The 17,095-nt window shown below is 40.2% G+C and overlaps 1 long non-coding RNA gene across 1 annotated transcript, besides 1 other annotated feature; it reads left to right on the forward strand.

Annotated features, from left to right (window-relative positions):
* Positions 1,120-1,621: an enhancer, noted in NCBI's record as "H3K4me1 hESC enhancer chr5:53007961-53008462 (GRCh37/hg19 assembly coordinates)". NCBI's record gives its function as "activates a minimal SCP1, AML or CMV promoter by ChIP-STARR-seq in naive and primed H9 embryonic stem cells {active_cell/tissue: H9 hESC(naive and primed)}" and the evidence as "EXISTENCE:reporter gene assay evidence [ECO:0000049][PMID:30033119]".
* LOC124900975 (uncharacterized) lies at positions 1,897-14,395 on the forward strand. Its single transcript, XR_007058768.1, has 2 exons — positions 1,897-2,411; positions 13,326-14,395. It is a non-coding gene; the product is annotated as an uncharacterized LOC124900975 (long non-coding RNA).
* The last annotated feature ends 2,700 nt before the right edge of the window (positions 14,396-17,095 follow it).

The raw sequence follows: 17,095 nt of genomic DNA on the forward strand, positions 1-17,095 counted from the left end.
TGGCTTGTAGGGTTTCTGCTGAGAGGTCTGCTGTTAGTCTGATGGGCTTCCCTTTGTAGGTGACCTGACCTTTCTCTCTGGCTGCCCTTAACATTTTTTCTTCCATTTCAACCTTGGAGGTTCTGATGATTATGTGTCTTGGGGTTGATTTTCTCATGGAGAGGAACCCCTTACAGGAGTTCTCTGAAGCTACTGCATTTGAATTTTGGACTATCTTGCTAGGTTGGGGAAGTTCTCCTGGATGATATCCTAAAGTATGTTTTCTAACTTAGTTCTGTTTTCCCACCTCCTTAGGTAGCCCAATCAGTCATAGTCTTGGTCTTTTTACATAATCCCATAGTTCTTGGAGGTTTTTTTCATTCCTTTTGATTATTTTTTCTCTATTCTTGTCTGTCCGTCTTATTTCAGAAAGACAGTCTTGAAGCTCAGATTTTTTCCTCCACTTGGTCTATTCTACTATTGATACTTGTGATTGCATTGTGAGGTTTTCATGTGTGTTTTTCAGCTCCATCAGGTCAGTTATGTTCCTCTCTAAACTGGCTATTCTGCTTATCAGCTCCTGTATTGTTTTATCATGATTCTTAGCTTCTTTGCAATGGGTTAGAACATTCTCCTTTGGCTCAGTGAAATTTGTTATTACCCACCTTCTGAATCCTACTCCTGCCAATTCAACCATCTCAGCCTCAACCCAGTTCTGTGCCCTTGCTGGAGAGGTGCTGTGGTCACTTGGAGGAGAAGAGGCACTCTGGCTTTCTTAGTTTTCAGGGGTTTTGCTTTGATTCTTTCTCATCTTTGTGGGCTTACCTACTTTCGATATTTGAGGTTGCTAACCTTTGAATGGGGTTTTAATGAGGTCTCTTTTTGTTGATGTTGTTGTTTTCCCCCCTTTTAACAGTCAGGCCACTTTTCCATAGGGCTGCTGTTGTTTGCTGGGGATCCACTCCAGCTTATTGTTGCCTCAGTTCCTCCCACACCTGGAGTTGTGCACCAGCGAAGGCTGCAAAACAGCAAAGATGGCAGTTTGCTCCTTCCTCTGGCAGCTCCACCCCAGTAAGGCAACAGCCCAATGCCAGCCTGAACACTCCTGTAGAAGGTATCTGGAGACTCCTGTTGGGAGGTCTCACCCAGTCAGGAGTAACGGGATCAGGGACCTGCTTTAAAAAGCAGTCTGGCTGCCCCTTGGCAGAACAGATGCTCTGGGGGGGATCCCTGCCTCATCCAGACCCCCCAGGTTCTCCAGAGTGCAGGCTGGAAAGACTAAGTCAACTGAACTGTAGTGATAGTGGCTGCCCCTCCTTGCAGGGGCTCTGTCCCAGGGAGAGATCAGAGTTCCATCCATGTAACTCTGGCTGGAGTTGCTAAAATTCCCACAGGGAGGCCCTGCCTGGTAAGGAGGGATGGGTTGGAGTCCCACCCACTTGAGGAAGCAGTTTTGCCATGATCTGGCACAGTAGCGGTACTATGTTGTGGGGAACTCCTCCCAGTCTGGACCACTTGGACTCCCCACAGCCAGCCGGCAAGAACTGCCAACTCAAACCGCAGAGATCCGCCTCAGGCAGTCTCCAGCCTGCTGCTGCTGGCCAGCTGGAATTCCAAGCCAGTGGGTCTTAACTTGTGAGGTGCCATGGGAGTGAGGCCTGCATAATGACACCACTTGGCTCCCTGGATTCAGCCCCCTTCCTAGGAAATGGATCTCCCACCTTGCCAGAATTCCCAAGACCAGAGTATGCAAAGCTCCTGGGTCTCTGTGTGTGCCCAAGCAGCCACTTCGCCAAGACCACACACTCTGTGCTTTGGACCAGAGGCCCTGGAGGGGTGGGCTCACAAGGGGATCTCCTGATCTATGGATTGCAAAGATCCATGGGAAAAGCATGCTTTCCCAGGTGGGGTCGCACAGTCAGTCATCACCTCCCTTGGCTGGGAATGTGGGCTCCCCTGGCTCTGTGCCTCTCCCAGATGGGATATCTCCCCACCCTGCTTTTCCTTGCTCTCCATGGGTTGAGCTGTCCACCTAGTCAGTCCCAATGCAAGAACCTGGATTCCTCAGTTGAAGGTGCATAATTCACTTGCTGTTTTTATTTCACTTTGTGAGAGCTGCAGACTGCAGCTGCGTCTAATCAACCATCTTGGCCCACCCACCCAAAAAAGTTAAAATTGTTTCTTTAAAATATGTGTTGCTATCCTTTGGCTCTGTGTTCCCACCAAAATCTGTCAAATTGTAACTCCCAGTGTTGGAAGAGGGGTCTCATGGGAAGTGATTGAATCATGGGGGCAGATTGATTTGTGGTTTAATTGATTACCCATAAATATAGAAATGATTACATCTGTTCTTTCAACTCCAGTTAGGTGTGGATCTAGGCTAAGGAAACTGAATGCTGAGATTTATGGCAATTTTGGGACTACTACAACTGGTAAGAAGCTTCCTTGTCTCCAGTTGTCAAGGCATTTAAGAAAAATTAATCCAGGAGATTTTATTATTGTAAGAAGTACACAAAGCTGATATTGTGAACAAAGTATGCCAACGATGGCACTTGGTAATAATAATGTATTATATCAATAGACTTTCTCCTACTAAAGGTTACTGATGGCATTTTAAGATATTTTTTAAACTACAGTTTCCCTCAATTTTATCATAAAAATTATTAAAATGTTGTAAATGAACATTCATTTATCACTTAAGTTTACTAGTAAACATTTTATCACATGTTTTCACCTCCCTGCCTTCCCTCTCCATTTGTGCATTGGAAAACACACACTCTCACGCACTCTCTCTTGTTTAAAGGTAAGGTATACAAGGAGGTGAAAGATCTCTACAAGGATAACTACAAAACACTGCAGAAAGAAATCACAGATGACACAAACAAATGGAAAAACATTTCATACTCATGGTTTGAAAGAATTAGTATCATTTAAATGGTTATGTTGCCCAAAGCAATCTACAAATTTAATGCTATTTCTATCAATCTATCAATGCCACTATTCGCAGAATTAGAAAAAAAAAAACTATTCTAAAATTCAGATTGAACGAAAAAAGAGCCCAAATAGCCAAAGCAAGCCTAAGCCAAAAGAACAAAGGCAGAGGATCACATTACTCATCTTCAAACTATAAAGCTACAGTAACCAAAACAGCATGGTACTGGTACAAAAACAAACACAGACTAATGGAACAGAATAGAGAACCCAGAAATAAAGCCACACACTTTAAACCATCTGATCTTCAACAAAGTTGACAAAAATAAGCAATGGGGAAATGAGTCACTGTTCAATAACTGGTGCTGGATTAGCTGGCTAGCCATATGCAGCAAAATGAAACTGGACCCCTACCTTTAATCATATACAAAATTCGCAGTGTTGGGAAGATTTAAATGTAAAACCTCAAAGTATACTTATTCTAGAAGAAAAACTAGGAAATAACATTCTGGAAATAAGCCTGGGCAAAGAATTCATGACTAAGTCCTCAAAAGTAATTGCAACAAAAACAAATATTGACAAATGAAACCTAATTATACCAAAGAGCTTCTGCATAGCAAAAGAAGCTATCAACAGAGTAAACAGACAACCTACAAAATGAGAGAAAATATTCATAAGCTATGGTCTGACAAAGGTCAAATATCCAGAACTTAAATTTACAAGCAAAAAAAAAAAAAAAAACCCATTAAAAAGTAGGCAAAGGACATGAGCAGACACTTCTCAAAGACATATAAGTAGCCAACAAACATATGAGAAAATGCTTGACATCACTGATCATCAGAGAAATACAAATAAAAACCACAATGAGATGCTATCTCACACCAGTCAGAAAGATAGATGGGTGCTCCCAAGGCTGCAAAGAACAGGGAATGCTTATACACTGCTGGTGAGAATCTAAAGTATGTTAGCCATTGTGGAAAGCAGTTTGGAGATTTCTCAAAGAGCCTAAAACAGAACTACCACTGGACCCAGCAATTTTATTACTGGGTATATATCCAAAGGAAACTAAATCACTCTGTCAAAAAGACACATGCACTCATATGTTCATTGCAGCACTATTCCCAATAGCAAAGACACGGAATCAACCTAGGTGCCTATCAACAGTGGATCTGATAAAGAAAATGTGGTACATATATACCATGGAATACTATACAACCATATAAAAGAATGTAATCACGTCCTTTACAGCAACATGGATGCAGCTAGAGGCCATTATCCTAAGCAAATTAATGCAGGAACAAAAAACCAAATGCCACATGTTCTCACTTGTGAGAATTAAACACTGGGTACACATGGACATAAAGATAGGAAAAATAGACTAGAGACTATAGAAAAATAAAAGATAGGAAAAATAGACTAGACTATAGAAAAATAAAGATAGGAAAAATAGACTAGAGACTACTGGAGCTGTGGGAAAGAGAGGAAAGGGTCTGAAAAACTACCTATTGGGTACTATGCTCACTATCTAAGTGGTGGGATCATTTGTACCCCAACCCTCAGCATTATGCAATGTACCATAAACCTGCACATGTACCCTCTGGATCTAAAATAAAAGTTGAAATTATTTTTAAAAATTAAATAAATGAATTAAAATAAAAGTGAGGTAGACATCATGATTTCATTTCTAAATATAGTTCGGAGTGGATCTCTTCAGGAAAAAAAAAAAGACATTATTCTTTATTAACTACAATAGCAATTGTCACAGTTTTTTTAAATGGATGGGAGGGGAGGGGCCAAGGTGGCTGAATAGAAACAGCTCCGGTTTGCAGCTCCCAGCGAGACCAACTCAGAAGGTGGGTGATTTCTGCATTTCCAACTGAGGTACCCAGTTCATCTCAGTGGGACTGGATAGGCAGTGGGTGCAACCCACAGAGAGTGAACAGAAGCAAGATGGGGCGTCACTTCACGTAGGAAGTGCAAGGGACCTCCCTCCCCCAGCCAACGGAAGCTGTGAGGGACTGTGCTACCCAGCCTGGGTACTATGCTTTTCTAATGGTTTTTGCAATCTGCAGATCAGTAGATTCCCTCATGAGCCTACACCACCAGGGCCCCGGGTTTCAAGCACAAAACTGGGTGGCTGAGCAGGCACCAAACTGCAGGAGATTTTTTTTTTTCATACCCCAGTGGTGCCTGGAACCCTGGCAAGACAGAACCATTCACTCCCCTGGATAGGAGGCTGAAGCCAGGGAGCCAAGTGGTCTCACTCAGCGGGTCCCACTCCCATGGAGCCCAGCAAGCTAAGAACCACTGGCTTGAAATTCTCACTGCCAGCACAGAAGTCTGGAGTTGACGTGGGATGATGCAGCTTGGAGTGGGGAGGGGCATCCACCATTACTGAGGCTTTAGTAGGTGGTTTTCCCCTGACAGTGCTAAGGAGACTAGGAGGTTAGGACTGGGCAGAATTTACCACAGTGTGGCAAAGCGGCTGTGGCCAGACTGCTTCTCTCGATTGCTCCTCACCGGGCAGGGCATCTCTGAAGAAAATGGAGCAGCCCCAGTCAGAGGCTTACAGATAAAACTGTCATCTTCATGGGACAGAGCACCTGTGGGGAGGGCCGTCTGTGGGCGCAGCTTCAGCGGACTTAATCTTTTCTGCCTGCCAGCTCTGAAGAGAGCAGCTGATCCTTACAAGGGCGATTCTCCCAGCAAAGTGCACCAGCTCTACAAAGGGACAGACTGCCTCCTCAAGTGGGTCCCTGACCCCCATGCCTCCTCACTGGGAGACACCTCCCAACAGGGATCGACAGAAACCTCATACAAGAGAGCTCCAGCTGGCATCAGGCTTCTGGGACGAAGCTTCCAGAGGAAGGAGCAGGCAGCAATCTTTGCTATTCTGCATCCTCCACTGGTGATACCCAGGTGAACACGGTCTGGAGTGAACCTCCAGCAAAATGCAGCAGACATGCAGAAGAGGAACCTGACTGTTAGAAAAAAAACAAACTAACAGAACACAACAACAACCAAAAAACCCACACAGAAACCCCATCCAAAGGTCACCAACCTCAAAGATCAAAGATAGATATATCCATGAAGATGAGGAAAAACCAGCGTAAAAACACTCAAAATTCCAAAAACCAGAATGCCTCTTCTCTTCCAAATGATGGCAACTCCTCTCCAGCAAGGGCACAAAACTGGACAGAGATGAGATTGATGAATTGACAGAAGTAGGCTTCAGAAGGCAGGTAATAACAAACTCCTGTGAGCTAAAGGAGCATCTTCTAACCCAAGGCAAGAAAGCTAAGAACCTTGACAAAAGGTTACGGGAACTGCTAACTAGAATAACTAGAGTTTACAGAGGAACATAAATGAACTGATGGAGGTGAAAATCACAGCACAAGAACTTTGTGAAGCATACACAAGTATCAATAGCTGAATTGATCAAGCGGAACAAAAGTATCGAAGATTAAAGATCAACTTGCTGAAATAAGGCATAAAGACAAGATTGGAGAAGAATGAAAGGGAACAAACAAAGCCTCCAAGAAATGTGAGACTATGTAAAAAGACCAAACTTACAATTGATTGGTGTACCTGAGAGTGACAGGGAGAATGGAACCAAGTTGGAAAACACACTTCAGGATATTATCCAGGAGAACTACCCCAACCTAGCAATACAGGCTGACATTCAAATTCAGGAAATATAGAGAACACCACTAAGATACTCCAAACCCCAGGAAACATAAGCATCAGATTCTCCAAGATTGACACAAAGGAAAAATTGTTAAGGGCAACCAGAGAGAAAGGTCAGGTTACCTACAAAGGGAAGCCCATCAGATTAACAGCAGACCTCTCAGCAGAAACCCTACAAGCCAGAAGAGAGTGGGGGCCAATATTCAACATTCTTAAAGAAAAGAATTATCAACCCAGAATTTCATATCCAGCCAAACTAAGCTTCATAAGTGAAGGAGAAATAAAACCCTTTACAAACAAGCAAATTCTGAGGGATTCTGTCACCATCAGGCCTGCCTTACAAGAGCTCCCAAAGGAAGCACTAAACATGGAAAGGAACAATCAGTACCAGCCACTGCAAAAACATACCAAATTGTAAAGACCATCGACACTATGAAGCAACCACATAAATAAGTTTGCAAAATAACCAGATAGCATCATGATGACAGGATCAAACTCACACATACACACATAACAATATTAACCTTAAATGCAAATGGGCTAAATACCCCAATTAAAAGACACAGACTGCCAAGCTGGATAAAGAGTCAAAACCCATTGGTGTGCTATGTTCAGGAGACCCACCTCACAGGCAGAGAGACACAAAGGCTCAAAATAAAGGCATAAGGGAATATTTACCAAGCAAATGAAAAGGAAAAAAAAGCAGGGGTTGCAATCCTAGTCTCTGATAAAACAGACTTTAAGCCAACAAAGATAAAAAAAAACACAAAGAAGGGCATTACATGATGGTAAAGGGATCAGTGCAACAAGAAAAGCTAACTATCCTAAATATAAATGGACCCAATACAGAAGCACCCAGATTCATAAAGCAAGTTCTTAGAGACCTACAAAGAGACTTAAGACTCCCACACAATAATAGTGGGAGACTTTAACACCCCATTGTCAATATTAGACAAATCAACAGGACAAAAAATTAGCAAGGATATTCAGTACATGAACTCAGCTTTGGGTCAAGTAGACCTAATAGACATCTACAGCACTCTCTACCCCACATCAACAGAATATACATTCTTCTCAGTGCCACATGGTACTTATTCTAAAATTGACCACATAATTGGAAGTAAAACGCTCAGCAAATGTAAAAGAATGGAAATCATAACAAACAGTCTCTCACATCACAGTGCAATCAAATTAGAACTTAGGATTAGAAACTCACTCAAAACCACACAACTACATGGAAATTGATCAACCTGCTCCTGAATGACTCCTGGGTAAATAACAAACTTAAGGCAGAAATAAAGAACTTCTTTGAAACCAATGAGAACAAAGAGACAATATACCAGAATCTCTGGGACATAGCTAAAGCAGAGTTAAGAGGGAAACTGATAGCACTAAATGCCCACATCAGAAAGCTGGAAAGATCTGAAATAGACACCCTAACATCACAATTAAAAGAACTAGAGAGGCAAGAGCAAACACATTCAAAAGCTAGCAGAAGACAAGAAATAGCTAAGATCAGAGCAGAACTGAAGGAGAGAGAGACACAAAAAACCCTTCAAAAAATAATTGAATCCAGGTGCTGGTATTTTGAAAAAAATTAACAAAATAGATAGACCACTAGCTAGACTAATAAAGAAGAAAAGAGAGAAGAATCAAATAGACACAATACAAAACGATGAAGGGGATATCACCACTGATTCCACAGAAATACAAATAACCATCAGCGAATACTATAAACACCTCTACACAAATAAGCTAGAAAATCTAGAAGAAATGGATAAATTCCTGGACATGTACACCCTCCCAAGACTAAACCAGGAAGAAGTCGAACCCCTGAATAGACCAATAACAATTTCTGACATTGAGGTAGTAATAGCCCACCAACCAAAAAAAGCCCAGGATCAGACAGATTCACGCCGAATTGTACCCGAGATACAAAGAGGAGCTGGTACCTTTCCTTCTGGAACTATTCCAAACAATAGAAAAAGAGGGACTCCTCCTTAACTTATTTTATGAGGCCAGCATCATCCTGGTATCAAAACCTGGCAGAGATACAACAAAAAAAAATTTCAAACCAATATCCCTGATGAACATCAATGCGAAAATCCTCAATACTGACAAACTGAATCCAGTGGTACATCAAAAAGCTTATCTACCACAATCAAGTCGGCTTCATCCCTGGGATGCAAAGCTGGGTTCAACATATGCAAATCAATAAACATAGTCCATCACATAAACAGAATCAATGACAAAAACCACACGATTATCTCAATAGTTGCAGAAATGACCTTTGATAAAATTCAACATCCCTTCATGTTAAAATACACTAGGTGTTGATGGAACATATCTCAAAATAATAAGAGCTATTTATGACAAACCCATAGCCAGTATCACACTGAATGGGCAAAAACTGGATGCATTCCCTTTGAAAACCGGCACAAGACAAGGATGCCCTCTCTCACCACTCCTATTCAACATAGTGTTGGAAGTTCTGGCCAGGGCAATCAGGCAAGAGAAAGAAATAAAAGGTATTCAAATAGGAAGAGAGGAAGTCAAATTGTCTGTTTTCAGATGACATTATTGTATATTTAGAAAATCCCATAATCTCAGCCCAAAAACTCCTTAAGCTGATAAGCAACTTCAGCAAAGTCTCAGGATACGAAATCAATGTGCAAAAATCACCAGCATTCCTATACACCAACAATAGACAAGCAGACAGCCAAATCATGAGTGAACCCCTATTCACAATTGGTACAAAGAGAATAAATACCTAGGAATCCAACTTACAAGGGATGTGAAGGACCTCTTCAAGGAGAACTACAAACCACTGCTCAAGGAAATAAGAGAATATGCAAACAAATGTAAAAAAAAAATTCCATGTTCATGGATAGGAAGAATCAATATTGTGAAAATTGCCATACTGCCCAAAGTAATCTGTAGATTCAATGCTATTCCCATCAAGCCACCATTGACTTTCTTTGTAGAATTAGAAAAAATTGCCTTAAAGTTCATATGGACCAAAAAAGAGCCCATATACCCAAGACAATCCTAAGCAAAAAAAATAAAGCTGGAGGCATCACGCTACCTGACTTCAAACTATACTACAAGGCTACAGTAACCAAAACAGCATGGTACTGGTTCCAAAACAGATACATAGGATGATAGAACAGAACAGAGACCTCAAAAATAATGTCACAAATCTACAACCATCTGATCTTTGACAAACCTGACAGAAACAAGCAATGGGGAAAGGATTCCCTATTTAATAAATGATGCTGCAAAAACTGGCTAGCCATATGCAGAAAACTGAAACTGAACCCCTTCCTTATCCCTTAGACAAAAATTAACTCAAGATGAATTAAAGACTTAAATGTAAAACCCAAAACCCAAAACCATAAAAACTCTAGAAGAAAACCTAGCCAATGCCATTCAGGACGTAGGTATGGGCAAAGACTTCATGACTAAAACACCAAAATCCATTGCAACAAAAACCAAAATTGACAAATGGGATCTAATTAAACCTACAGAGCTTCTGTACAGCAAAAGAAACTATCATCAGAGTGAACAGGCAACCCACAGAACGGGAGAAAATGTTTGCAATCTACCCATCTGACAAAGGTCTAATATCCAGAATCTAGAAGAAACTTAAACACACTTACAGTAAAAAAAAAAAAAAAAAAACCATCAAAAAGTGGGTGAAGGATATGAACAGACACTTCTCAAAAGAAGACATGTATGTGGCCAACAAACATATAAAAAAAAACTTTATCAACACTGTCATTAGAGAAATGCAAATCAAAACCACAATGAGATACCATCTCACACCAGTTAGAATGGTGATTATTAAAAAGTCAGGAAACAACAGATGCTGGAGAGGCTGTGGAGAAATAGGAACGCTTTTACACGGTTGGTGGGAGTGTAAATTAGTTCAACCATTGTGGAAGACAATGTGGCCATTCCTCAAGGACCTAGAACCAGAAATACCATTTGACCCAGCAATCCTATTACTGGGTATATACCCAAAGGATTATAAATCATTCTACTATAAAGACACATGTACATGTATGTTTATTGTGACACTATTTACAATAGCAAAGACTTGGAACCAACCCAAATGCCCACCAATGATAGACAGGATAAAGAAAATGTGACACATGTACACTGTGGAATACTATGCAGCCATAAGAAAGAATGAGTTCATGTCCTTTGCAGGGACATGGATTAAGCTGGAAGCCATCATTCTCAGCAAACTAATACAGGAACAGAAAACCAAACACTGCATGTTCTCACTCATAAGTGGGAGCTGAACAATGAGAACACATGGACACAGGGAGAGGAACATGACACACTAGGGTCTGTTGGGGGGGTGGGAGGCAAGGGGAGGAAGAGCATTAGGACAAATACCTAATGCACGCAGGCTTAAAACCTAGATGATGGGTTGATAGGTGCAGCAAACCACCATGGCACGTGTATACCTATGTGACAAGCCTGCACATTCTGCACATGTATCCCAGAACTTAAAGAAAAATAAATAAAATAAAATAAAATAAAATAAAACAGACAGATGGGGAGGGGGAATTGACAGATTTCCCCAGTTTTCCCTGATACTATATACCAATTTTTAAAAATACAGGATCCAATCCGTAATCATACATTGGGTTTATTCTCCTCTAATCTTGAACAGTTCACCTGCTTTTTTGTTTCTTTCATGATATTCAGAATTTTTAAGAAATCCAAGGTTAGTCATTTTATAGAATGTTCTGTGATTTAGGTTCCTCTGGTTGTTTCCTCATAATTAGATTAAAGTTAAGCATTTTTGGTAAGAATATTATATATGTAATATGTTTTTCTCAAAGAGTCCCTTCTGGAGGTACATAAAGGCAGTAATTATTCCTGATGTTAAGTTTGATCACTCAGTTAAAGTGGTACATACCAGATTTCTCCATCATACGTTATGTAATCTAAGGGTTGATGCTTTGATATTGCATGAATCCTGATTCCCCACAAAATTTCACCAAATTGTTTTAACATCTTTTGATTATCCTTGCCTGAATTACGTATTACTGATGGTTGTAAGATGGTCATTTTCTATGCTATCATTTCTTCTACAGTTACTGGCTGGACTCACTAGGTTTTTGTTGTTGCCATCATTGTTTTTGTTAGTTACTATCGAACCATAGATTCTTTTTTTAAATTACCTCTCTAATACCACCAGCAACAAACTACAGGTAAAGTTCAAGATGTTTTTACTTGATTCTTTTTGTCTTCAGAATAAAAATTATAGAGGAGATAAAGTCAGAGTACTCTGTCTCAAGTTACTTGAATTAATTGGTTACTTGGTTGAGAAGATCATATTGTTAGAATTTATATGCAGAGTGATCTAAAGTCAGATTTTCCATTCCATGACTAGGATGGCCCATGTGGAGCAAGGCAAAGTGAAGAAATGTTGGAAGAAATATTACTCAAAATTAACGTCTACAAAAACAAAAGAATAAGATGATACTTTTGGAGTTTTCCATTATTGTGTAAAACAAAACAAAACAAAATTCTTAACATATCTTATTTGATGAAGCATTTGTTTTCTGGTGTGACTTGGTTTTCCATTTATAAATCAGTGCATGAGAAGATGAATTCATTTCTAGTTTTATTGAATACAAAATGCCAATGAGCTATCCAGCTGAAGATGCATAGCAGACAACAGGAAGTGTGGGTTTGAAGCCTAACAAACTGACCAAGAGCATTGGCTATACTGTAAAAATTAAAGCTATGGCAGTAAACGGGACAATAGAGGCAAGACTAAGAGGAAGAGAAGAGAGGCCAAGTACAGTCTCTTGAGGGAAAATATTTCTGGTAAAGAAAGAGGAAGATGTGATAAATAAGGAATAGAGAAAGCCAATAAAGGATTTTTTTTAATGAAAAGACTTGCATTTAGGCTCAAGGCTACATGCTTCTTTATAGATTGATAGGTGCTGCCAATGGTCAGAGAATGACACCCTGAGTATGGGTGCCTTGGCACGTGCTGAGTTCTTTCAACTGAAAAAGATTGGAAGGGCATCAGAAACAAGGTCTCTCTAATCTCCCTTACATCCTCCTTTCTCCCCCAAGGCATATCATAAAAACCAGAACTCTTCCCTGAAGTGGTCATAGAAACTAAAAATCCTTACCCCTAAAGCAAGCCATGAAATCTAAAAAGGTCACTTTCTGACCTACCTTCCCTAAAAGTGAGACCCTTTTGTCCTGCCATGTGCCCAAAGGAAAAGAGTACTGCAGAGAGAGGCGAAGAAGAATCTTAACAAAGAACCTTTTTATGTTCCCCAAAGTTATTACCATTAGATCATACCCCTTTTTCCAATCATATTTCTCCACAAATGTCTACTTCTTTCATGGGGCTTAGCATAAAAGTACACAGTTTTCCCTGGGTCTTTGAGTCTTCATTTCTGAAGTCTCCTACTCCCCGTAAAACACTGTTAAATAAAGTTATGTATTTCTCTTGTTAATCTGTCTTTTTTTATGGGGTATCAGTCATGACCCTTATGATGGGCAAGGAAAAGATATTAGGTTAGTACAAAAGCAATTGCAGTTTTTGCACTGTTGAAATTTGCTATTTGATATTCGAATTCATTCTTACATAACTGTGGTTATGTTATACATCATTTTAACGCATGTTTCTCACTTTATTTTTTTTGCTAATGACTTATTACTTGCTGTTTATCTTATATTTATTTTAGACTATGGAAATGCTGTTAGACAAAAAGCAAATTTGAGCAATTTTCTCATTTGAGTTCAAAATGTGTCGTAAAACAGTGGAGACAACTCGCAACATCAGTAAAGCATTTGGCCCAGGAACTGTTACTGAACATACAATGTAGTGGCGGTTCAAGAAGTTTTGCAAAGGAGATGAGAGCCTTGAAGATGAGAAGCATAGTGGCTGGCCATCGGAAGTTGACAACAACCAATTGAGAGAATCTTTGAAGCTGATCCTCTTACAACTACACAAGAAGTTGCCTTAAAACTCAACACCAACCATTCTATGGTCATTTGTAATTTGAAGCAAATTGGAAAGGTGAAAAAGCTTGATAAGTGGGTGTCTCATGAGCTGAGCAAAAATTTTAAAAAATCATCATTTTGAAGTGTCATCTCTCATTCTATGCAGTAACAATGAACCATGTATCAATCGAATTATGATGTACAACAAAAAGTGGATTTTATACAATAACCAGTGATGACCAACCAGCTCAGTGGTTAGACCAAGAAGAAGCTCCAAAGCCCTTCCCAAAGCCAAAACTGCACGAGAAAAAGGTCATGGTCACTGTTTGGTAGTCTGCTGCCAGTCTAATCCACTACAGCTTTCTGAATTCTGGCAAAAGCATTACAACTGAGAAATATGCTCAGCAAATCAATGAGATGCACCAAAACCCACAATGCCTGCAGTTGCCATTTGCCAACAGATAGGGCCCAATTCTTCTCCACAACACCACCTGACTGCACGTTGCACAACCAATGCTTCAACAGTTTAATGAATTGGGCTACGAAGTTTTGCCTCATCTGTCATATTCACCTGACCTCTCGCCAACCGACTACCACTTCTTCAAGCACCTCGACAACTTTTTGCAGCGAAAATGCTTCCACAACCAGCAGGAAGCAGAAAATGCTTCCCAAGGGTTCGTTGAATCCCAAAGCATGGATTTTTACCCTACAGGAATAAACAAACTTATTTCTCTTTGGAAAAAATGTGTTCATTGTAATGATTCCTGTTTTGGTTAATAAAGATGTGTTTGAACCTATTTATGATTTAAAATTCACAGGCTGAAACCGTAATTACTTTTGCACCAACTACAGTTTTCACCCCTACTGTTTTTAGAGTCAAGATTACTAGAATGTCAGAAATGAGCAAAATTAGACGTAACTTCATAAAGACAATGTAGTCCTGATAGGAAGTATAAAGGTCGTTTAGTCTTTGTATCAGTTTCTTGTCATTGCTGTAACAAATTACCACAAACTCGGTGCCTTAAAACAACATTCTACAGTTTTAGAGGTCGCAAGTCCAGAATCTTTCACTGGCCAAAACCAAAGTGTTGAGAGACCTTCATTTCCTCCAGAGGCCCTAGGGGAGAATCCACTTTCTGTCTTTTTCAGCTTCTAGAGCGTCATTTCTTTGGCTTGTAGCCCCTTCCTCTATTTTCAAAACCAGTAGCATCTTGTTTCAGTCTTCTCATCACCTGTCCCTTCTCAGGTCAAATTTCCGTCTGCTTCCCTCTTATAAGGACACTTTTGATTACATTTAGGATCCATTCAGATAATCCAAAATGTGGGAAAATAAAACCATAAAAAATGTTCCAGAACCACATCACTCTTCAGGCTGCTAATCTCTGTCAAGTTTGTTTGGTAGTATCATACTTATCAGCATTTACATGAAGCATTACTTTTCAGAAGGATTTTAAATAGCTATAATTAAAGCTATGGTGGCCAGGCATGGTAGCTCATGCCTATAATCCCAGCACTTAGGGAGGCTGAGGCAAAAGGATCGCTTGAGGCCAGGAGTTTGAGACTAGCCTGGCCAATATAGCGAAACTCTGTCTGTGTTTTAAATAAAATAAATAAAGTTGTGGAACAAGGAGTAAATTGTGCAAGTTTACAAAGCCAATCTTTTCATCAAAATGAAGCCTCATGCTGTCTGTTCTTTTGAATAGTTCTTAGAATGGCCACATGCCCATTTTGACCTCACCGTGACAAAGTGAGGGTTGTTTGAGCCAAGAAAAGTCTAAACTAAATAAGTAAATACAGTAAAAAGTTAAGTTTATTAGATTTAATTTCCCCTTTGGAAAAGAGCCAAAAACATGGCATTCTAAAGCAAGACAACCCTTAGATCAAATCTCAGATGTGCCATCTGTACTTGACCAATCTGAGCCTTAGTGTCTTCGTCAAATGACATTGAATAAATAAGCACTTGATAGATGCTTAATAAATGTTGGGCACTTTCTTTTTCATGAAAATTTACATCATTCATTAAATATTATTTGACTGTCTACCATGTGGCCAGGCATTAGCAGACACACATAAATTTAACCTAATATTTCTATTTTAGTAATTTTTTAAACCTTAATGTGAGATATAAAGATAAAGCAAGATGTCTACAGATATCAGAAGAATTTAAATAAAATAATGTACAGTTTAACATTCAAAGTTGTGTTTATAATTGAGAATAAAGAAGACCTACTGACCTGTGAGATATATATATATACACACACATGTATTTTCATCCATGGTTCCTAGCTCATAGCTCCCATAACCTTTGTTACAGTCTTTTGTTATAATGTTGGGGTGTCTTAGGCCTCAGAAACAGGCCTCAGGAAACAGAATCAATCAATCACTCTCTCTCTCTCACCTTCTCCTGCCCAAACAAGGAATCTAACCTGATTGTAGGTCATAAGACCCTTATTCCAGAGAGGGTCCTGCCCCATATTCTGGAGGAAGGAATGTTGCACAGAGAGGCCAAGAGGAATCTGAACAGGCAGGCATTGCTGGGTAATGTAATTTGGTTTGGCTCTGTGTCCCCACACAAATCTCATGTTGAACTGTAATCTTTCAGTGTTGGAAGTGGGAGGTGAATGGATCATGGGAGCAGACTTCCCCCTTGCTGTTCTTGTGATAGTGATTGAGTTCTCACAAGATCTCATTGTTTAAAAGTGTGTAGCACTTCTCACTTCACTATCTCTCTCCTGCTTCATGTGGAGATATACCTGCTTCCCTTTTGCCTTGCACCATGACTGAAAGTTTCCTGAGGCCTTCCCCAGCCAGCCTACCCATACAGACTGAAGAACTGTGAGCCAATTAAACCTTTTTTCTTTATAAATTACCCAGTTTCAGGTAGTTCTTTATAGCAATGTGAGAACAGACTAATGCGCTGGGTTTAGATAATACTCTTTTTGTTGAATCACATTTTGACACAGTTGTCCCTGCTTCAATCATGGACAATCAATAAAGTCTCCATCAAAGGCCCAAAGGACAGGGTTAGAGAGCTCCCAAAGCACTGAACACATGGAGGTTGACAGGAAGATGTACTCATCTATGTGCCTGCAGGGTGGCAAACCCCCAACTCCACAAGGACAGTAGCTCCTGTACTCAGGACTGTCCCAAACCTCACCCTATATATCTCTCCATCTGGCTGTTTACTTGTATCCTTTAAGATATCCATCATAATAAACTGGTAAGCATAAGTGTTTCCCTGACTTCTGTAAGCTACTGAAGTAAATTAATTGAACTCAAAGCAGGGGTCTGGGGAGCCCCAACTTGAAGCCAATCAGAAGTTTTGGAAGTCCAGGCTTGTGACTGGTGGGAAGGAGGGAGTGGTCTTGTGGGACTGAGTTGTCAACCTGTGGAATCTGTCTCTATCTCTGGAGGACACCCAAGCTGGTGTCCACTGCTTGGTGTGTGGGGAAAAGCCACCATACATTTCATCAGAGGTCTTATGTGAAGGTGATTGTTGTGGTGTGAGAGC

This window comes from Homo sapiens, chromosome 5 (genome assembly GCF_000001405.40).
Source record: "Homo sapiens chromosome 5, GRCh38.p14 Primary Assembly".
Lineage (NCBI taxonomy): Eukaryota > Metazoa > Chordata > Mammalia > Primates > Hominidae > Homo > Homo sapiens.